Source organism: Homo sapiens, chromosome X (assembly GCF_000001405.40).
Source record: "Homo sapiens chromosome X, GRCh38.p14 Primary Assembly".
NCBI lineage: Eukaryota > Metazoa > Chordata > Mammalia > Primates > Hominidae > Homo > Homo sapiens.
Window position 1 is genome coordinate 111,094,359 of NC_000023.11, and position 23,204 is coordinate 111,117,562.

Below are 23,204 nucleotides of genomic sequence, written 5' to 3' on the forward strand. Positions count from 1 at the left end.
AGAAAAAGCATGGACTTTGGACTCATTTCGATACAAATCCCAGCTCTACCACTTTCTACAATGTTAATGTAATACTCATATATGCATTAATATATATATTTTGAATTTAGGAAAATAAAATGCAAACTGACCCTTAAAAATGGTCTGGATTACATCGTTTACTTAGTCTTTGCCTCCCTCTTTCTTGTTTTGGCATAGAGTGGATCATTGTTGTTGTTTTTCTCAATTCCCTGTATCATCACAATTTAAAATGAATCAGTCCAAAAGAGGCATCCCATTCTTCAACTGCCTGAGATGTTTTGTCTGGCGAATCTGTAGCTCTTTTTTTTTTTTTTTTTTTTTTTTTGGAGACGGAGTTTTGCTCTTGTTGCCCAGACTGGAGTGCAGTGGCGCAATCTCGGCTCACTGCAACCTCCACCTCCTGGGTTCAAGTGATTCTCCTGTCTCAGCCTCCCAAGTAGCTGGGATTACAGGCGCATGCCACCATGCCCAGTTAATTTTTGTATTTTTAGTAGAGACGGGGTTTCATCATATTGGTCAGACTGGTCTTGAACTCCTGACCTCAGGTGATCCGCCCGCCTGGGCTTCCCAAAGTGCTGGGATTACAGGTGTGAGCCACCGCGTGTGGTCATCTGTAGCTCTTTTGTACGACTTTTACTAAAAGGACCTGGGCAGATATATTAGTTCACTCTTGTTCTTGAAACCTATTTTGTTGGCATTATGGAGAAATTATTGCTGGATGTTACACAGTGTGGAGAAAATTGAATAAAAGTTCACTGGGAAGGGTCATGATCTATTTTGGCCATTTAAGTATGTGAGGATATATTTATCTTTATGAAAATAAATTTGAAAGTAGAAAGAAAAAGTTACTCATAATACTACTAGTTTAACCCAACGGTTACAATTTTATGTCCTCTTCTGATCGTTTTCTGTAGGCATATTTTACATCATTATAATTTGAATGTCCTTATTGTTTTGTATTATTTGACTTTTTATGGCAGCTTACTGTCGCCTTGCTGGGATTCACCATAATTTACATAATCTAGCCAAATCATGGGGAGTATGGATTTTGGAGTAGCAAGAGATTATTTTTGGAGTTAGATTTTATAAAGCTTTGGCCATCTGCAAAAATTTGAACCGTATCCTAAAGACAAGAGAAAGCTTTGAAGGTTTAAGGGAAAGGATGGACAGAGAGAATCGCATTTAAGCTCCATTTGAAGTAGAGTTATTTTTATTTTTTGTATAATTCCTTGCTTTTTGGAATGTGTGTGCTTCATATGCAGAAAAGTAGTTTCCCGATCTAGACTGCCATCTCTTTGAATTCCACTGCCACATCTGTCTCTCTTAGTTTTCTGTGTATTTTAGAGATTCCGTCAGTTTAACCTGCCTGGCTGACAGGTGGTGTCCCAAATCGAAACCGTTTTTTCCCCCGAATAAAGTGTGCCCGTGTAGCTGTACAGATTTCGTCCCCTGAAAATTCATCTGAAATCTCAATTCTCCTGAGGGGAGCAATTAAGGAAGATACATGAACTCTCCCCTCCTCTCCATCCTGTCAGGTGCCCCTCTTTTTTGATGGCCCCACCTCTGTCTAGACAACCCTGACAGTGTAGAAGTTTCCATCTCCTTTCCCTTTCCCTCTCCATGTTCCCTCCCCTTCAGTTTTTTCCCCCTCCCAGGCGCTTCCTGCCTGGAAACAAAAGATTGGTCCCCAGTAGCCCACTCAGGGCGATTTTAGTTTTATGCTCACCATCTGATTGGCCTAGGTAAGGTGCAGAGCTCGGGTGACGTAATAGCAGAGAAGGGCTAGGGAGCGGTTGCCGAGCAGGGGCTCTACCGCGGGCGGGCAGCTGTGCCAGCTAACCGTCTGGGATCTCGCACTGGGGGCTGCAGCTTTTCCCCGCCTCGAGCCAGTGTGCGGGGGCGGGAGAAGAGCCAGGGGGAGCGGGCTGGGCCCGGGGCTGCGGCTGCGGCCGCGGGGCTGCGGCTCCCCAGCCCCGCCAGCTGGAGCGCTCGGAGGTAGAGGAAAGGTCTTGACGGGGTGGCTGGATCCGTGGCAGGTAAATCCCGCGACTAACTGCACCCGGGCTACCGCGGGGGAGGGGGTGGCTGTTGGATGATGCTTTAAGGCTGCTGGGCAGATGTTCTGCCTTTCCGGACCCCCCTCCTGTCCTGTTTGTGCCCCAGCCTCGAGTCTCCTACGTGGCTCCCCGGAGCCCTGAGACCAAGCGAGCAGTTTGCATGATCCCAGTTCGCGGACAAGTGGGTGTGTCAGGGCCGTTCCCAGAGGGCCGGGGCTCCTTCGCTTGGTCAAACCCTAGACTCGTTTACTGGGGCCTGGGCCGCTTGAGGCAAAACCCGCCTTGAAAGCTACGTCAGCCTGTAAGTCTTCCCTTTCACCCCCCCGCCCGCCCCCCTACCCAGCCCCAGTAGCTGTGACAGCAGTTCCCTAGAAAAGGGGAGGGGGTGTGGCCACGGTCTGGCCAAGTCCGGGGTAGAACCCCCCCGCCCCTTACACACACACACACACACACACACACACACACACACACACACGAGGAAAGAGAAAAAGTGACGATTTTCTTAAACGGGCGCCTTCCCCTCTTTCTTTTATTTTTCTTTATCCCCCTCCCCTTTTTTTGGTGGGGGGATGGTAATAACAGGGGGACCCTTTTCTTCTCCTGTGGGGATTGGAATGATGCAATAACGCCCCCAGAAAGCTCAGGGTCCCTGGATTGGCCCTCTCTTTGTCTGGGGAGCAGTGTCATTGGGTCCACTGCCTCTCCTTCTCTCCTGTTCCCCTTAGCTCGCTGGGGGACATTGCCCTCAGTTTGTGAACTGGCTCTGGCAAGATTACTGCCGCACTTTTGGGTGAACTGAACATTTTAGATTCTTACTCTGGCAAGTTTTCCTTCCCTAGGTGGTGGTTAAGGGGTGGGGTGGGGTGGGGGATGGTGGGAAGAGGGGGATGCAGGCAAGGAGAGAGATAGAGGCCCCACTTGTTTTTTTTTTTTTTTTTGGTCCCACCTTTCAGAATCCAGTTCCAGATTCTAGACTTGAGGGTTCTGGGCTGTTGGTCTGTAGAAGCGAAGGAGAGAAGGGTGAGTGGCTTGGCTTTGGGAAGCATGATGGGGGCGGTTGCAGTGCTATTTTTAAAAAACGGCTTTCAGCAGGGAAGCCTTTAGCCATGTTAGTCTTGCTCCCCTCATGGTTTTGCAGACTCAAATCCAGGCCAAGTGTATGGCTGTCTGAGGTATTGGAACAGAAGGAGGTCCATTCCTGTTGGTGACAACACCGTGGCCCTGTTCTGGGATGAGCAAGGTGTAAAGGTCAGTGCGGTTTTCACTGGGCCATTTGCAAAATTATAATTGGGCAAGATCTGTGATTTGGTACTTGAGGCCTCCAATCAGGGGCAACTTTGGGCAAAAAGACTTGATATGGTAATGAATGACTAACAGGCAGAGGCTTGGAGAGAGAGCCATTTGTAAGCCTCTGTTTCTGGATACAAGTGTCATATCCCCCAGCCCATGCAAGAAGCAAAATGGGAAGAGACTAGGAGGTAGCCTGGGCAAGAGCTGACAGCTGAGAATCCTGAGGTCAGAGAGACCTTAGGATGTCAAGGAGCTGACCCTGCAAGTCTCCGGACAGGCAGCTGGGCCTTGTAGGAGAGATCTGACAGGAAAAGGAGGTTCACATGCAATAGGGTTATAAGCTAGGGGACACAGGACCCTAGGGACATTCTCACCAGCTAACCATTCCCACAGGTTGCAGAATTTCCTGGTCAGAGGTGGAAATGGTATATAGGGCAAACAAGTTTGCTGAGGTCTTGGGAGAGGGTGAGTGGTGGACATACCAGGTGAGGGAAACGAGAAATAAAAAGAACTGCAGGGATGGGAAGGTGCTGACATCCGAGAGTTTGCTATTATGTGTTCAGAGACTAAGCTACTAAATTAAGGTTAAAGAAGGTGGCCAAGGCAAAAAAAAAAAAAAAAATCAGGTGTACAGATCAGATGTAGTAGGCAGGAAGGCAGGAGCAAACTAGAGAGAGAGAGAAGAAAAGTCGTGGCCTTACCAACAACCCAAAAGCCCTGAATTCTCTGGTGAGATAGGCAACTCTGGAGGTTGAGGCAGCTGTAGCTCAGCCAAGAATTAGAAGGATGATTCTAGATATTTAAAATCAACAGCATCCCCACCCACGTAACCCACCTTCAGGAACCAGTAGCTTTAACCAAGAGAACAAGAAACTCAATGAGCAGCAGCCTCAACAACTGGCTCTTTCCTCCTGGGTAAGGAGAGGGCAGTGGGGAAGGACGGTGCCTCAAAGGGAAGTGGAGGCGCTATCAATCTGGCCTAGACAGGTAGGTTGACTGCTTTTACATGGGTGGGCTGGGGCCTGGTCTGGGACCCCTGCTCAAAAAAAAAAAAGAAAAAAAGCCCTCCTTCTCAGGATCCCTGGGGACCCTGTGTGCGCAGGGAACTGTGTAAAACCTTTACTTCGGAAGGTAAGTGCAGCGTTCTAGGCATCTGGGGCGTACTTAAGCCTCCGCTACGCGTCCCCCACCCCCACCCCCACCTGCCGGGGGCTAGGCGTTTCCCTCTGCAGGGCCTGGAATGGACTCGTCTGCCAAGTCGGCACTACACAGCTTCTCCAGCAGGGGGCGGAAAAGGGCCTGCAGCGACGCGCAGGACCCGAGTCCTCCATTTCAGGTGTGATGCTTCAGCCTCGGATCAAATAATAGCCACACATTTAAAATCTCATTTAGGGTTACCGGAGAACCAAATGAACCTCCGGGTGTGGCAGTCTATTTCCATTTCCTCCCAGATATGCGTCGCTTCCTACCGCGCTCTGTGGCTTTGGAAGGCATTTGCATTTACCTACGCGGTGATTATTTGAGTCACTAATACACACAGCCTAACCGGGGGTTTAATTGGAAATGTTAATCAGTGCAATAGATCTGTGTCTGATTTCCACATTTGGTCAGTTATCTGCAGGTTGGAGCAATCTGTGCTAAACCCAGGGGATGCAATGAGGAGCAAAACGGTGCAGCTACAGCTGGGTCTAAGTCTGGGAAACATAATGGGGAGATGGACCTTGAAAACTGGAAAGAGAGTAACAATTTACTGGTGGGAAGAGGAAATCATTAGAAAGGTGTAGTCACAGAGAGGCCTGATTGCTGAGATGGAATAGGATGGCCTTGGAACCCACATGGTGGAGAGGGAGGCCAGAGTTTTTCTTTGAGGTTGGAGGGGGCTGAATTTGGAGAGTGAAGTTTTTTAGGGGCCAAAGGACCAGGAACTGGGGTGGAATGAACCCTGGGAGTCAGAAGTCAAGTGTTATGGAGGGCTAGGGCCTGGTCTGGGACCCCCAAACACACTGTCCCAGACAGTGACAGTCTGGGACCCCTGTTGTGTTTGGGGGTCCCAGACAGTGTGTTTGCCCCTCTCTAGGCCTCAGTTTCCTTGTCTTTCAAACGATGAACTTGGCACTAGTTGTTCTATAAGGTGGTCCATTTATTCTTGGTAATGAAGACAGGTCCACTAAAGTATAGCCCTCTTCTTCCCCTGTCAGAAAAATTACCCCTTCTTTTTTTGTATGCCCTCCAGTTTTAGGGAAAACAATACAAAACAACCCCACAACCACATATATTTCATCTCTTTCAACAGTGTGGCTTTACTTTTACTTCATGTGAATGGGGAACAGGAGGGAAAAGAGAAGTCCAAGTTAATAATCTGCTAGGGACCCTATAACCAAGCCCCTGAAAGGTTCTGTGTGGCTGGGTCTCACAGACCTGAGTGGATGGGTGGGTGGCGTATATTCACTAGTGGCCCTTACTCCCTAACTCAATCTCAAAACAGAAAGTCTTGGGATGAAGGTGAAGGAAGGGCCTGGCTTAGGGCGTATATCCTTCTCCTTCGTGCCCTCCTCCCATATCTCACTGTGAGCCCCAGGCACTTTTTGGAATTCAGCACCCTAAAAGAAACACTATCCTTAACAATCAGCACAACAGTGCCCTCTAGTGACCTTAATGGGGACAATTTTAAGAGCTCCCCATGCATCCCCGGTCCCAGCCTGGTCACCAGTGCCCTTGTGCAGCGGTTACTCCTTGTGGAGAAGGCTCCCAGTCCTTCCAACCAGCCTGACAGAGAAACTCAGCCAGCCACCGTTTCCTGCAAGTCCTTCTCCTTGCATATATGGATGGGGCTGGGGGTTCACAGAGGGAGTCAGCTCCCCACAACTTCCTCTCCAGCGTTGTTTCCTTTGGGCCTGAAAAAGGTTCCAAACCTCCTTTCCTAGACAGCTTCGGTGCTGAGCAAGATACTTGGCATGGGAAGGCTCTGTGGTAGACAGAGTAGTTGTCCATAGCTTCCACCTACCCCCACCGCCAAGGTGGCAGCCCTAGTCCCCAGACAGAGATTCTGTCAGGAAGTTGGAATGCAGCAAGGTGGCTGGGGGTGGAGTTGGGTTAGTGATGGGTATTGGGTATGTACAAGATGTGTGCACTGATTTCTACCTCAGTCTCCAACAGGAGGCTGAGCCATAGGTGTACAACAAGGCGGTATAGGCATACAACATGATGTAGGCACACAATGCCCACAACACTATACAGACACACAACATGGCATAAAGATATGACACAATACGAATTAGACACATTGCACATACACAAAGGATGGAAGAGATGCAATTCACATGCAACACAGTACAGACACATAGCACTCACACAGTAGCTTATTGACATGATCACGTATACAACATGATATTAACAGGACACTGTACACACACACGATATGATGCAGACTCAATACATGCATGTCATGGTAGATATGACACAGCACACATACACAGACATACAACATGGTACAGGGAACTGTGCAGATATACATGACCCAGTATGCACATGTGCTCACACACAGGATATCTCCCCTTGCCCTACTCTCAACACAACACACCCCCAGGCAGGTGAGAGGAGTGTGGCTACCAGGTGGAATACTGTGTCCTGTCAGTTGATTCTGCACTGACTCAAGCAAGTGGTGAAATAAAGGCAGGTTGCCATGGAGTTAAAAAGTGGTGCTACAATTGAGGCTGGGGGGAGGGGGAGGTAAGCTTCAGGAAAGCTCTTGATCTTGCTCTAAAACATGGAGGTTCTTGGTAGTACAGGTTGGGGGTGTGTTCTCCTTCTCTTACATCCTCTAGTATTGTTTCCCACCCCAGTGGGTGGATGCTGCCTCTGCTGTCTGCCCTCATCCCCAGAGATGGGCAGGGGGCTTCTTGAGGCCATTCTTCCTGTGTCCTCCTTGAGCCCCACCCCTCTCTGGAGCTTTGGCAGCTTGCACCCCTCTCCCCCTCACCCCACCCTCTTGCAGGGTGAGCTCACGTAGGGAGGGAGGGGGCGAGTACACCATTCAATGGTGCAGTGGGTGGGATTTGGAAAGGCTGCCTGGAGTGTGCATGTGGGAAGCACACATGGAATGCCAGGGATGCTGGGGGACAGACATGCTCTGGAGTCTTGCCCAAGAGCAAGAGGCAGACCCAGAGTATGGCTTGGAGTTTTAATTCCAGAAGGGGGAATTGGAGATCATGGGGCTTTTCTTGGCTCCCTAAGGCTTCAATTTTGCAATCTCCGTGTTTAGATATCCATCTAGCCATCTCTTTGGATTAGGACCCTGTTCATTCTGGTCTGTAATAAATAGGTGCTAGCCTGAATCATGCCTCCTTGAGAATTAGCATGTAGTTTCTGCTTTTCTTTGAGGACAAACACCACTGTGGGAAGGGGAAAGGAAAGCAGAGTAGGAAGGATTGCAGAGCTTGGGGTTCTACAAAGAGAAGATCAGCCTCTCCCTTGAGAGGCTCAAATGATTGTGGGAAAAGGCAGAAAGGGAGGGGTCAAAGAGACTCAGTCTCCTTCATGGTTAGACATGGAAACCTCTGTGGGAAAAATAGGGTAAATTATCACCAAGCAACAACAGTAAACAGTATGTATTCATCCTAAGAAACCTGGGGAGTACTGTGGAAGACTTACCTGGTGGAGACAGGAGAAGGTAGAGGGAAGCTCCAATTAGGGTCAGAGGCTGGGGCCTTCAGCACCTGTGAGATGGTAGCAAATTAGGAGACCTCAGAATGCTGTTGCCTGGCAGACAGACTTTTTTTCCACTTCTCCAGTGAAAGAGGTTAGTGAAAAGGGGAATGGAAATGGAGGTGGAGACTTAGAGTTGAGGGATGAACTGAACTGAACTGAATGCAGTGCCACAACATCAGGAAGCTCACATATTCACAGAGCCAACCTTCATTGGCCATTGTCTCTCAGTTTCCTTTTGTCCACTGGACTCTACCACCTCCTGTGATTATACACATTGCTCCATAATTATGCAGACTATGTAAATATTTCACATCTGTCCTATTTGATTTAGTTCTTCCAACACTTACCCAAGTCAACTAAGGCAGGCCTTTTCACTTGATACTAAGCAGGCCCAGAATGATGAGGTGACTAACAGCAATTCTCAGCTTGTAACTCCCAACTCCTGACTCCCACTTCCGTGCCCTTTCTGGAATCCTATGTAACAATGCCTTTTTACACTTCTTAGCCCTCTGATTTTCTAGCTTTCTTAAGAGATATTCTGAAATTCACCAGAGAGATTGAGAAAGAGAGAGAGAGAGTGTGTGTGTGTGTGTGTATGAGAGAGAGAGTATGTGTGTGTGTGTGAGAGAGAGAGAGAGAGAGAGATGTTTGGTGGGAGTTGGATGAGGGAGCAGTAGCAGGTGGGGAAAGAGGTTCCCTCTCCCCTACAATGCTTCTCTCAGCAGGTTTCCCCCAAGAAAGAGCAGCTGAGTCCTTGCATCTTGTGGCAGCTGGTGTGCCCAGCACTGAGTCTGTAGGAGCTGAAGCCAGCCCGGACCCTTCTCATGGGCAGTGCCCACCTGTGCTGAAGTCCTGCAGCGGTGGCGGTGTGAGGTGAGTAATGGAGTCCAGGGCAGGGAGTTAGGGATCTCCAAATCCAGGCAAATGCTGCTTTTCCACCAGATCTCCCAATATCAAAGACTCTGCCTAGACCTCGTGAGCTAGGCCTCAGGGCATGACCCCTATGTTCTGGGGAATTTTGCCCAGTACAGCTGCCTTTAGTCTCTTGCCTCCCTCCCATCTCTAATATGGGAATGACAGCCTTGACCTACATTTTGGGGTGAGGAGGAGAAACAACATAACAATCGTTGCCAAGTCCGTTGCAGATGTCAAGCACCATCTAAGAGCTTCAGTATAACACAGACATGCTTCCCATCAAGCTGTCATTTTCTTTTCTCCTCCTTTCCTGGTGCCTGGGTGGCTTTTCAGCCACATGCTGCAAATTTGCCATTCAGTTCCTATGATTTCTACTGCCCCATAACCTTAATTTTACCTTCCTGTTTGAAGTGTACCCCCACCCCTTCCATCCCTGCTTCTGGGCCTGTCAGACTTAGCTTAAACCTTCCCAAACCTTCCCTCTGCTTTCCCACCCAACCAAGATGCACTTCCTCCACCAGGTCTCCAACAGCACTTGAGTCTGTAGCGTGCAGGGTAGCACTTGCTGCCCTACTGCCTTAAATAAGTCTTGCATGGTTTCTGGAGTATTCATCTTACCAGGAAAACTAGATTGTAAGCTCTTCAAGGGCAGGGACTAGATCTTACAGATCTCTAGTCTCCCTTAAAAGGGCTCAAAAGTTCCCCAGCAGCTTTGCAAGTTGGGCCTCTCTCTCTTCCTCTGCATTTCTTTCAGGTTTCATGGCCTGTCTCTCCGATCATCTATTTGTTTTTTTGTCTGCCTTTCAGGCAGGCATTATAACTTCTTCTGTCAGCTTCTCCATCTGGCCTCTGTTGCTATTCCCTGCAGTCCAGCTACCTGCTTGTAGCTTGCTGTCCCTCTGTCTGGTCTTCTGTCTATCAGTTGCTTAGGCATCTCTCCTATTACCCAAATCAAAAAACAACCAACAAAATTAAAAAAAAAAAACAGAAAAACTAAACAAAAAACAAGCAAGGAATAAGCAATGTAGTTCCCTTTCACACTGAGCATACAATGCGCCTACAGACAAGGTAAAACTGCAGCTCAGCAGCAGGTGTTTCTGTGATGCCTTCTTATGAAAGGGAAGCTCCAGAGTTTCAGCCATGGAATTGAAGGTATGAAATTACAGCCTTGTTGATACTGATGCATTCAACTTTCTAGCGATGTTCTGGTAGGGGATCCTCTTTAGGCCTTGACGGACAGAAGGTAACTAGGACTGACTAAAATGAGAAGCCCCTGAATCGCTCTTTGGTGTTCTGTGACAGATGCAATAATAACTTGTATTTATTGTCTACTGTTGCCAGCTCTGTGCTAGGCTCTTTACTGGCATGATACCATTTTCTCCTATGATAATCTTGCAAGGTAGGTATTTTTTTTTCTAATAGTTATTGCTGTTTCTGATTATACAAGTGATACTAGCTGAAGTTAGGTATTATCATCATTACTGTTTTACCAAGGAGGAGATAGAGGCTGAGAGAAGCTAAGTAACTTGCCTGTAACAGAAGACATGCTGTGGCTTTGGGAAGAAAGAGACTTCCTGGAGAGAGTTTCCCAGCATCCAAAGTTATTTTGGTATCTTTAGTTCATGCACATACACATACATACTCTCACAAGCACATTCTTGTACTCTTGTACATTCACACAGTCACATCATCCCCTGGGCTCACTCACTTTTCATACTGGAGTCATTCAAAATGATGATCACTCTTATGCCCTCACCCTCACACACAATCATATTTACATACATGCTACATTTAGGTACATTCACACTGCCACAAATTCACATTCACGTATTCACATTTTCATATTGATGCACACAACACACTTACCATACACCCCACCCTCATGTTCACAGACACTCACACCTTTGTGCTATTAATATCATATTCTCACACACACACACAATCATACACTTTCACACTTACATTCACACAGAGGATACAATCACCTTTGCCTGCCCAAATTCCTGTATAGTCATACATACTCTATACACAAATAATACATTGACATTCCCCCTGCACACACTCCAACTGTTTCTTATACTCACAGCCATTCATACACTCAATTTCATACACTCCAGTGTACTTGCATTGATGTCATCACTGTTTCTTCCTCACAGTCACAAACTTATCACAGGGACACAAACGTGCATACATGCTCATATATCCACGTTTATATTTTCTCACATCATAAGCACCATCTCACCCACTTGCACTTTTACACTTAGAATTACACACTTTTGCATTCACATACACAGAGCTAAAACAACCTCCCTACTCCTGATACATTCACACATAATCACATTCATACATAGAAACACACATTTTGCCACACATTCACACTCACACACTCACTTTCTTCACACTGAGACATCATCACACTCTATACCAAACTTGCAGGCACATACACTGAAATACAACCATACACACATATTTTTATAAACTCAGCCATTTTCACTGAAAACCGTCACTCTACCCTCTCAAACTCAAGCACAATCACTTACACACACAGGTATAGTCACATTGACTGACACATATATAGGCTTATTCACATTCAGTACTCATACAAATTCACATAAACATACATACTGCACATGTACTTAACACTCACATATTCACTCACTTTCACATTCACGACTGTACACTCAAAATTATACACGCCCTTATTCCCACAGACAAGCACTCCTCCACATTCGTGTACATGCACATGTGTACCCCCTCACACACCATCCCCCACTCGTACATCACACATTTTCACACTGGCCCAATCACACTTACCACACACTCACATTCTTATACATTCCCACTCTTCTACTTTCATACTGACACACCCTTACTCACTTCGCTACACACGTTTGCACCAGTGCACATATAATGACATGCACAGTCACTGACTTGCATTCATGCTAGCACATACCACACTGACATACACAATTCACATTGCAATAGTTGACTGTGCTTCACACAGGCAATTACTGATACCACATATGACAACATAGACTCACACTCACAATCGCCATGCCACATTCTCACTTACATTGATACACTTACACTGACACACCTGTTCAGGAAGTCAAACACTCTCCCGTAATCCACCATGTACTCTTACTCAGACTCTCACATGAACACGTTGACACTTAACTACCACTGAGATAATCACATTGACCCACATCTATTCACATTGATTCACACATACTGCTAGTGACCCACACTCTCACTCATACATACTTTCCCAAACTCTTACACATCCCCCTCCCATCCCAATAGCCCTGCATTTATATACTTTCTCACTGACACACACACACGGATACATCTAATTGCAAGAAATAGTTTATATTCACAGTTGTCTCTTTTTTCTTTGTTTGCCACTAGTGCTCTCCTCACCCCTGCTGAAAGGTTATATTGGCAACCAGTTGCCAGAGGAAAAATGTTGGTCTCATCCAGGAGGTCAATGAGAAATAGATCCTTTCAGAGCAGAAAGGAGTAGAATTTATGTCTAGGATTAAAAAAGAAAAGGCTCAAACCCACAGATCAAGTTTTCCTTATCCTTTCCACATACTTTTTCTTTTTTCAGAAATCATCTCCAATACAGCCTTAGCCAGTCCTGTCCAACACAGGTTGGAGTTTAGATGGTGTGTTTATTTTCTGGAAGTTTATGGCTTAACTTGCTACCTCATTTCTTTCCTATAGTGAAAGGAAGATGAAGGATGTGTTTCTTTATGTGCTGTTAATGGTTTCTTATGCAAAAGTGCATGTCTCTGGTTTTATATTTATGATCTGGAATTGCCTGCTGATTACACACATGGAAAGGGCAGGCCTGCTTCCACCAGGCACCTCTAATCTAGCCAGGTATACTTAATACCCTGTTAACCCTGGAACATGGCACTCAAGGAAAGGAAAGAGAAGGTTAATGAACTAGCTGGATGATAAGGTAAATTTGTACTGTAAGTGTTCATGTGCGATAGTAGACCCCACTGAAATTTCAACAGCTGTTACTAACAAGTTACAAGAGGAGATTTTTCAGTAGGCGTGGATAAAGACAAGCTGAAGGAAGTTTCTTGCACTTCAGAAAGACTGTAGATTTCCCTGCAAGTGGATAAAAAGAAGCACAAACCCAGGAGTGAACTAATGGATCAGGAGCCTGGTGCAAGAGTCATGTGCCAACAGAGATTTGAAAACACAAGAGCATCTTGCAAGGGTGTCTCTAGTACATGGCTTCTCCTGCTGGAGTCACCCTGGAGCAAAAAATGAGTTCAGAATATACCCAAGCTGCCATTTGGTATGGGTTCTAGCATGCCTTAGGGAAGAGCTTATTCTCTGGAATATAACCCAACTCCCTGCCATTAGATTGAGAACTTCTTTGATAGCAAGAACTATATTATCTTACTCATTTTGGTTTCTTGATGCCTAGTGCAATGCTAGGTCCAGAAAAGCTACTTGTGAGACTCAGTTAAGAAACTAAAGGGGATACCTGAGCAGGAACATCTTATCAATACAGACCCAGTGTCTCTCTTCTTCTCTTCCTCAATCCCAGATTTGCAGTGGCATTACCAGCTCAGATTGAGGATTGTCTGTAGGCCCCACATAGAGCTAGGCCCAGAGATTCAAATGGGTGAAAGACACACCTATTGCACTCTAAGGTACTTTCATTTGTGTGGGAAAGATCAAGTTGCCATGAAACAGTAGTATGAGGCAACAGTCTGGAAGCTTGGGCATGGAGGGATCTTTATCATGAAATCCAGTGGTCTGTAGGCTCCAAAGGTCTTGACGGTTCATAAGTAGTTGGGGACAGCAGTCAGAATTTAGAGAAGTCACTTTCCAAAGTAAACTTCCTTGTAGATAGCTTGCTTAGCACAGGGCTGTGCCATATTCCCAGAAGATTGTATAACAGAGTACTCTGTTACTGGGCCTAAAGTGGAGTAATAAGAGTGATCTGCAGACCTTAGTGAGATTATTGTACTTATTAAGATCTAACCACCACCTCCTCCAAGAGACAGCTTAAGACAGGGGTTCCCAAACTCTGGACTGCAGACCAGTGCTGGTCCACAGTCTGTTAGGAACTGGGCAGCACAGCAGGAGGTGAGTGGTGGATGACAAGCATTACTTCCTGAGCTCCACTTCCTGTCAGATCAGCAGCAACATTAGATTCTTATGGGAGCGTGAGCCCTATTGTGAACTGCACAGGCAAGGGATCTAGGTTGTGTGCTCCTTATGAGAATCTGATGCCTGATGATCTGAGATGGAACAGTTTCATTCCAAAACCACCCCATTGCCCCATGTCCATGGAAAAATTGTCTTCCACAAAACTGGTACCTGATGCCAAAAAAGGTTGAGGACTGCTGGCTTAAGAGAAACAGCTGGGCAATTTTACATTTGGAAATTTTTGGCCATTACTTCAAGATTCACCAAAGGCAATTTATATAATTTGCAGGACTGGCTGAATATTAGGAAGAGAAAAATGCACCTGCCTGAGTGTGCTTGAATTCAGTGAGAAGCACTGAGAAAACCCATTCCCAAACCCATCATGCATTTATATGATATTTTATACTTTTAAAAATGTTTAATAACCCATTCTTCCATTTCAATAGAGGTGTTAGGAGCACCAACTCTGGTATCAGCCAGACCACCATTTGAATCCCAGTTTGGCCACTTCCTAGCTGTGTAACCTTGTTTGAGAAATTATCCCCATTGCTTCTTAGGCCTTTTGGCTAAGATCAAGTGAAGAGAAATTACTTATCCCCCTTAAGCCTCAGTGTCCTTATGTGTAAAATGGGAATGACACTAATGTCATCTACCTCATGGAGTTGTTAAGAGGATGAAATGAGATAATATATGAAAGTGTTTAGCAAAATGTCTGGCTTATAGTAAATGTTTGACACAGTATAGAGCTTATTATCTTTACCATAGCCCTTTGAGGTAGGCACCTTCAAAGGGACAGATCCTTGACATAACAGAGAAACAGTATGGTTCTTTGCAGCCAAAGATTGATTTTCACAGGACTTGTTGCCTGTTTTCCTTTAAGTCTTTATTTCTGCCTAGCCACAAGCTAGGTGTCAGTATTCATTCCCACTCAAGACGATGAGTGAAAAATAGGATTAGTCCATGGAGTTTCCTCAACTACTGTGTCTCTTTAGGACATGTTTATCTTGCAGAAATGTGTCCTGTTCATTTAGCTATCCCCTCTAGTCCTACTTCCACCCTTGAAATCAGTAAAGCCATCAGTGATGCCACCTTTATTTGCCAGTACCCAAACTTGTGGGGGTGGTGAGTAGAAGAGATTCCTAATGTAGGTGGAACCAGCAATTGGTTCTCTTACCATAGGCATTCTTCTGTCCTTGATTCTGATTGTTGAAATGTCTGTTTTGTGGGTGGAAGATCTGCTCATTTTCAGGCTTTCGTCCCAAACGCCACAGTGGAAGCACAGTTTACTTACGACAAAGCCCTAAGAACATTCATGTTCATGTAAAAGCTGTGAGTAACTGCAGAATTTAATATGAAACTTTCCGTGACTTAGGAAACAGAAATAAGTGCACGGGCATTGATGTCACATAGACATGGGATGGTATAATCTTACTATTACATTTACTAGTTCTGTGACCTTGGTCAAGTGACTTAATGAATGTGCTTCTTCATATGTGGAATGAAAATACTGTAATAACACCTCAGGGGTTATGCAAGTTATGTGAACTTGTACCTAAGTAACTTTTAGCAGAGTGCGTGGGCCATGATAAGATTTCAGTGAATGATAGCGATTTTGTTTATGGCTTGTGAAATCTGTGAAAATAAACTGTAAACATCTATTGGTAGAATGTCTTGAATTACTTCAAAGCAGTTCCCAAATGTGGATATGTGATCCTCACAATCTACTGGTGACGTGATCACCCTTTCTAGATGAAGAAATAGCTTCAGAGGGGTGAAGAGATGTACCTAATGTCACGCAGCTTGTGAGTGGCAGTACTAGGCTTAGAAAGCACCAGTTCAGATGATTGAATATTTGCACCTTCACTTGGTAAAGCCTTTGGGGGCTACAGTTAGCAAATAAGAACAATTTGAACTGAGCATAATCCTTCTTGTGACAAAAATATCTAAATGTGAGCTACAGTTTATCTACAAATCGAACCATAGGTGTTTCTCTTTGTATCTTGTGCAATGCCCAGAATGTTGCAAGAGTGAAACAAATGTGACATCATAAATGTTTGGAAAGCAGTACCTTTCCAAACATAGCTGAGTGACATAGGGCCACAGTAGTACCATTCACCACCAAGAGGAAAATCTTTCTTGAGGCATAAATACTGTGTGGTTCTGCTCATGTTGCTCCAGTAACACCAAATGTTCAGAGTCTGGGAATTCTTAAAACATACGGAGACACTTCAACAGACCTGTGGTGCCACTTGGCCATTTCTGTCCTGACATGAGAATTATAAGACATCAAGCTTAGTAAACGTTAGGGAGAGGATGGGAGGACAAAAAGATAGGAGCACTTTTGGCCTTTTTGTAACATTTTTCTCATAGCCAAACATTCACCTTGAAGCACTCTTCTCTTGGTTTCTATGACAACATATCAGTTCTCCCGCCTCTTTGACCATCTTTCTCAGGGATCATTAGTCACTCTTCCTCTTCCAACCTCTAAATGTTGGTGTTCCACAGAGATCTGGTCTAGTCCTCCTTCTCATTGTGTATTCTTCCTGAGCAATTGTGCATATTCCCATGCTGATGGCCTCCAAACAAATATCTTCATCCCACATGTCCAGCTCTCCATTGAACAGTTTCATAATGCCAAATGAATGTGTTAGAACCACTGCTACAATTGTATCTGTCTTAATATTGCTATCTCTGTTATGAGGAATAGATATAGCTAGAGATACAGTTTTTCCACCACATGTGAATTGATGTTTCCTTCAATTATTTTATTACTTGCCATGTAGATTATACTTTTCAAAGACAAGATGCTTAGATATGTGTCTTGCTTCCCACTAGATATTTCTAGTTAAGTTTTTACTGATATTTCTATTGTGTCACTGGTTTTATCCTCTTATCTTTGCCTGTTGTAGTCTTGATAGTATTATTATGTTTGTTGGTAAAGTCTGGATAAAAATTTAGATGAATTTTCTATAAAACTTATTATAAGTGCCGTTCTATTGGCCAAAAATATTATAATAATTTGTTCTTATTCTCTTTAGAGTGCAATTATTACAGGTGGTCTAATGGTTGCTAATACAAGGGACTTCCAACACATTCATATTTGTTATCAGCACACTAACTTCATTAGTTATTTTTCATCTCCATTCTAAGCTATTCGGTTATTTTCATTTCACAAACATGGAAACTGAGGCACGGTTCTATTTGGAATCCCAAATGTAAACTAAAGCTTGCAAAAACCATTAGGCCATTAGGCCTCCCATACTCCTCTGGGCCTCTTGGCATAGAAATATATCTCTACCCTGATTTCCATTTGGGGTCCTGAGAACAGTTAATCCTATCAAGGCTGGCATCTCTACCATCTTTGGCCAATGTCCACTGTAGAGACCTCTCTTGACATCTCTCTTCTCCTGTCTTCCTATTCCCATGCTGCATGTGCTTTCTGTCTCTTGACTGATTATCTTAGTGTTGTCACTTTTCAAAATGATTTCCATGTTCCTACCTGGAACATCTGACTCCATAGGAAAAACCTTTCCCAAGTCTTCAACCTTAGACATCTGCTACATTGTCACCTGAGTAATAGTTCTGAAATTCAAAGTTAATCATGCTATCTCACCACTTGAAACCTCTTCATATACACAAGAGGAGTCCAAACCTTGTAGAAACGCATATTAAACCCTTCTTAATTCGTCTCTATGGATCTTATTTTTTTCCATTCCTCTTTTTTGTCCCTAATCTCCTTAATACACGTTGCTGCTTGACCTGAAAAATGGTGTGGTTAATTGTTCTTCCTAATTCAACTCGACTGTACTTCCCCTGTGAAGCCTGCTTCGTCAGGCTCCAGGGAGTCTCTGTCTCTGTCCTTCTATAGCAACCTTTTCTCATCTTTGCACTGAGATGTCATGGCTGACATCCATTATATTTTAAGTCTCTTCAAGGGCGGGGTCAACTTTGTTCATCTCTCACCCTAGAACCTGGTGAACTCCTACTTTCCTTTAATACCCTGTTCAAGTGCTATATCCTCTGAACCCTCCAGGCACCATTAGCTACCCTTCTTCCACTGTCCTTTCAAAGCATCCAATGCCTACCTTAGCACATAATAGACACCATATAAATGATGAATAAATGAATAAATTTAAGAAGGTTTAATGATTTCTTCAGGATCACAGAAAAATCCAGAAGTAGAGCTAGAGTTAGTCATTCATTCCTTCTGTTAGAAACAATTCTTTTGGGTTTATAAAAAATCTACTAAATAAAAATCAACCCCCCAAATTAAGTCTGCCTAACAACATGCAACTTAGTTCTTAAATGTAACATCGAAGGTAAGTTTCTTTTTCCGAGTGTTATGTGCCTAATAAATTTCCCCAAAGAGATCTGTCCTGCTTATATATGGATACAGTTCTAAAAATGCTTTTAGGTCTTACACATATTATTTTCTTCCAGAGTTTTGAGATCTATTCTTTTACTTATACAGCACCAATATCATTCAGTCCAGCAGAAACAGGCCCAAGGCTAATAAATCTAATCTAGCATGCTTGAAGTATTCATTGGTTGAAATATACTGTTGAATAATAATACCTTATGCCAACCTAGTGCTTCCTACCTTTCAAATCCTATTGAATTCCTGCTCATCCTTCCATACCCTGCTCAAGCGCTATATCCTCTGAACCCGCTGGGAATATTAGCTATCCTTCCTGCTCTGTCCCTCCAAAGCATCTTGTGCCTACCTAGATTGTATCACACTGTATTCTTATTGTATATATGCATGTCTGCCTTCCTCACTAGACTAGAAGCTCTTTGAAGATAGAGATGTGTCTTTATTCTTCTCTCTTTGTATGCTTCCTGTACCTGACATAATACCTAGTATATATGAATGTTGGTGGTGGGAGGATGTAAGGCCAGGCAGCTATGTTCCCTGGAACAATATCAAACACATTCCTTGTGTGTGGTAGTATGATTTCTTATATAGCAATAAGATGAAGAGAGTCTTGCCCTTTTCTGAAGTGCTGTAGCTCCTCTTTTTAAATTTTTACTCTCATTTTGCAATGCACATATCCTTACTTGTTTTGTAGTTCTATTTTTGTCTGTATATGACATACTTTTTTTAAATTATACTTTAAGTTCTAGGGTACATGTGCACAACATGCAGGTTTGTCACATATGTATACATGTGCCATGTTGGTGTGCTGCACCCATTAACTCGTCATTTACATTAGGTATATCTCCTAATGCTATCCCTCTCCCCTCCCCACTTCCCCCACCCCACGACAGGCTCCAGTGTGTGATGTTCCCCACCCTGTGTCCAAGTGTTCTCATTGCTCAGTTCCAACCTATGAGTGAGAACATGCGGTGTTTGGTTTTCTGTCCTTGCAATAGATTGCTCAGAATGATGGTTTCCAGCTTCATCTGTGTCCCTACAGAGGACATGAACTCATCCTTTTTTATGGCTGCATAGTATTCCATGGTGTATATGTGCCACATTTTTCTTAATCCAGTCTATCATTGATGGACATTTGGGTTGGTTCCAAGTCTTTGCTATTATGAATAGTGCTGCAATAAACATACGTGTTCATGTGTCTTTATAACAGCATGATTTATAATCCTTTGGGTATATACCCAGTAATGGGATGGCTGGGTCAAATGGTATTTCTAGTTCTAGATCCTTGAGGAATTGCCACACTGTATGACATACATTTTACATATAATGTGTGGCCAGGAATGAAACCCACTGCTGGAGCCTATAACCTCACTCAGAGCTAGACACTTATTTATCTGCTTACACCCATCACTTAGTATGATGCCTAGCACATAGGCACTGGTAAATATTTGTGGTTCAAGTAAATGAATTCATGCACAGATGGGTTACTTAAGGGGCCTCAATAATATATTCTCAGTTACTATCTGTCACCTCAAAGAGTAGTACCTCTCTGTTTTGGGCTCAGGATTTTTTGAAATGAAAGTCAACCAGAAATGAACAAGGATAAAGCATTAGTTGGTATATTTTCCTGTAAAAAGGAATGTTGGGCTGACATAAGATCTTTTCCTCTCTTTATGCAGCTGTGTGACCTATAGACCTTCATTATTAAGCTGTGCAGAAGAGTATAGGGCATGCCTAGGTGATCTGCTAAAGGCCACAAAACCAACTGGTGATTGACTGGCATAATTGGGAGTACTATGACGTAGAGGATTTGTCAGGCTCAATCTTGAAGAAAAAAGAACACTCTAAGATGAGCATCATTTGATACAGAGTTATATACATTTATTATGAACACCCGAGTTTCCTCCCCTTTCTCTCTGCCCAGTGCCTTTGTCAGAATGTGCTCTAGGCTACACTGCAGTCTCCGCAGGAATGAGTCAAGAACTACTGACTGATTTACCCTCAGGCCTGCTGATTACAGCTCCTTCCACCAAGCCCTGCTTCTGTTTTATCTGCAGTTTTCCTCCCAAAATACCCTAACTTCCTTCTTGTGTGGTAAGGGCTGGGCCCTGTGATCTCAGCTTGGGGGCTTCCCAGGCCCACAGAAAGACTTAGGCACACAGCAGTCTTTGCTTTGTATGTATATGAGCACTAGGGAAGTAAAGCTGATCTTGTGCTGTGGTAGACATCTACTCTAGCATGAACTAAAGATGAACCATATATTCTATAAGTGGACAGCAGCAGCTGCAACCAGGTAGTAAAATAATAAGCATTGAGCCACTTGCAAATTATGAACTTGTATAAGCTGGGCATGGAAAGGCCATGGGAAAACCAACATACTCAATCATGAGTTCGTCCTTCAGATCAGGCTTTTAATTTCTAAAGAGACTGCTTTGGGTGTATTATAATCTTTTTTAAAATACCCATGCCAGTTTTCTTTAATGCAAAACATTTGTCTGGTGGGCTTGAATATGGGGAATTCCTACAAGTAAGGCCCTTGTCAGCTAAATGTTTATCCCCCACCATTGTGAAGTGGGATGGGTAGAAAGTAGGTTTTGTCATGTTTCATTCTTCCTTCAGTATTTAAGAAAGCCTGTTTTTAATAGATGTTATTTCCTCTTCCTTAACCATAGCTCCCAAATGAGATGTTTAAATGCATGCTCAGTATAATAATAATGAAATTAAAAAAAGTATGGGCATGTAAACATAGGTCAAGGGGCAAAAACTTGAGGAAGTGTTGCTGCATTTTACACCAGTTCAAATTCTTTAACTTCCATTTCTGGCAAGAAGTCACTTTTTTGGTGAACTGTGAGATTTGCTAAATTGATCTAAGTTCCTAGTTTAGAAATAACACCAAATCTCCATTGCCCCAGGTAGCTCTTCTCTTCAGATGTGAAATGGACACCTTCCCTGTAGAAAGCTGATTTGGGTACAGAGAAATTGGGAATAGAGCAAGGACCTAGGATGATGAGCCATGATGCACAGTTTGAAAAGCAACATTCAGGCACCTCTGTGGTATGCAAAAATCTCTAGGAAATTCAGGAATTGAATTTCCAAGCTTAAATTTGAGGACATTTGTTGATATTTCACTGGGGTGGATCAATAAAGAGTATAATTATTATCCATGCATAGTAACAGAGACAATCGAGACCCCCAGAGACTCAAGACATTGGTTTGCCATGTCCTGCTTGCTTGGGATGTTAATCTATCTAATTTGTTCCATCTGAATGCTTCCAAGGATGTTATGTGCTCTGAGAACTAGGAAATGTTTTCTTACTAAGTTTTGCTTCTCTTTTCTTTTTTCCACCAATTTCTCTGAGGCATCTCTTAGGGTAATTACTTTTGTTTTTTATGCTTAAAATATTTCTACCTCTATTCTTTATGGATCTTATTTTCTCTTTTTAGAAGCATCAATATTGGAAACAAAAAGCTGAAACCTGTAATAATGCATCGGTTTGCAAATATAAGTACATGTAAGATAATCATTAGCATTTTCTGGGCATTAGCTCATGAAGCACACACAATGAATAATAAAGTATGGTGCTGCATATGTTTAGAGGCTTAAGAAGTCATTTGAAAAATAACTATACTTAAGAAAAAGAATGATTTTTTCCTTATATGCAGTATATGGAGTCTGGATGCTGGATTATACCTATTGACTTCCTATTTGCAACCTGACGTTGAAATTTGCAACTATAATATGCTGGCTTCTTGGACTCAATTAATGTCAAGTTCCTGCTGAAAACAATGGAAGTCACTCATAAAAATGTTAGCAGACAACAATACTACAGCAGAACTGACCTCATTTGCTTGTTTGTATGAGAGAGAACATGAATGTATGCTGTGTGAGTGTGCTTGTATGTATGTCAGCAGTGAGCTATCTCTTACATGATCTAAGATTGAAACTAGGTGGCTGTAAAAAGAGCTAGTGCCTCTCTTTCTTGTCTGGCTGCTTTTGCAGATCTCCTGCCTAACAAGTAGCTCAGCTCCTTCTGATCAAATGATCTTAGAATTGGCTTCCCTCCATTACACACTGTAATGGTATCTCCCTAGTGAGGCTCTCTGAAACAGCACACCCCTGTCTCTGATAGCAGAGTTCCCTTGGTGAGTGCTCCAGAAGAGGCGAGCTCCAAAACGAGGCCATCTAAGAATTGGTACAACTGGCCAACGAAACTTGTTGGAGTGTTGTCAGTAAATCACCTAGCCTTGTGTCTTTAAATGGGAAAAGCCATTTGAAATAAGTAAGTACCAGCATGAAGTGGGTTGAAATGAATAGGGTAGACCTGTCGTATGAATATTTTAAGAGGATAAAAATGTATATATGAAGAGTGTGTTTGTGGGTTTACTTGGATATGCGTTGTATTGGTGTACTGGAAAGGGAACTGATGAGTTTAGGAGCTGAGGGATTGGATACTATTCTCAGTTTTTTCATTTGTGACCTTGGGCAAGTACTTAAACTCAAAGCTTGTAAATTCCTCATGTAAGAAATGGAGATGATACTTTCTTCTTCGCAATGTTGATGTCAGGCTCAAAGAAGAGCAAGACGTGGAAGCCCTTTGGACATTACAAAGTCATATGTTTTTAAAATGAGGTGTTGGTAATCAGATGGTAGCTGGCTTTGA

General features: G+C 43.6%; 1 protein-coding gene across 41 annotated transcripts in view, besides 1 other annotated feature; it reads left to right on the forward strand.

The window, feature by feature from the left end:
• The window catches only part of PAK3 (p21 (RAC1) activated kinase 3), a 282,965-nt gene that overhangs the window by 149,962 nt on the left and 109,799 nt on the right, over positions 1-23,204 (forward strand). For 7 of the 41 annotated variants that reach the window (NR_136744.2, NR_136745.2, NM_001128168.3 and 4 more), the window contains exons 1-4: positions 1,833-2,057; positions 3,032-3,098; positions 3,217-3,326; positions 8,798-8,948. The exons of 2 other annotated variants lie outside the window; for them this stretch is intronic. The gene's annotated coding sequence lies outside the window, so the exon portion shown is untranslated. Of the gene's footprint in view, positions 1-1,832; positions 2,058-2,184; positions 2,380-3,031; positions 3,099-3,216; positions 3,327-8,797; positions 8,949-23,204 lie in introns of those variants that run through there. 32 more of the 41 variants (NR_136742.2, XM_017029563.2, NM_001324329.2 and 29 more) reach the window with 9 other exon arrangements.
• Positions 1,904-2,033: a silencer, noted in NCBI's record as "silent region_20943". NCBI's record gives its function as "represses an Ori minimal core promoter by ATAC-STARR-seq in GM12878 lymphoblastoid cells {active_cell/tissue: GM12878}" and the evidence as "EXISTENCE:reporter gene assay evidence [ECO:0000049][PMID:35858748]".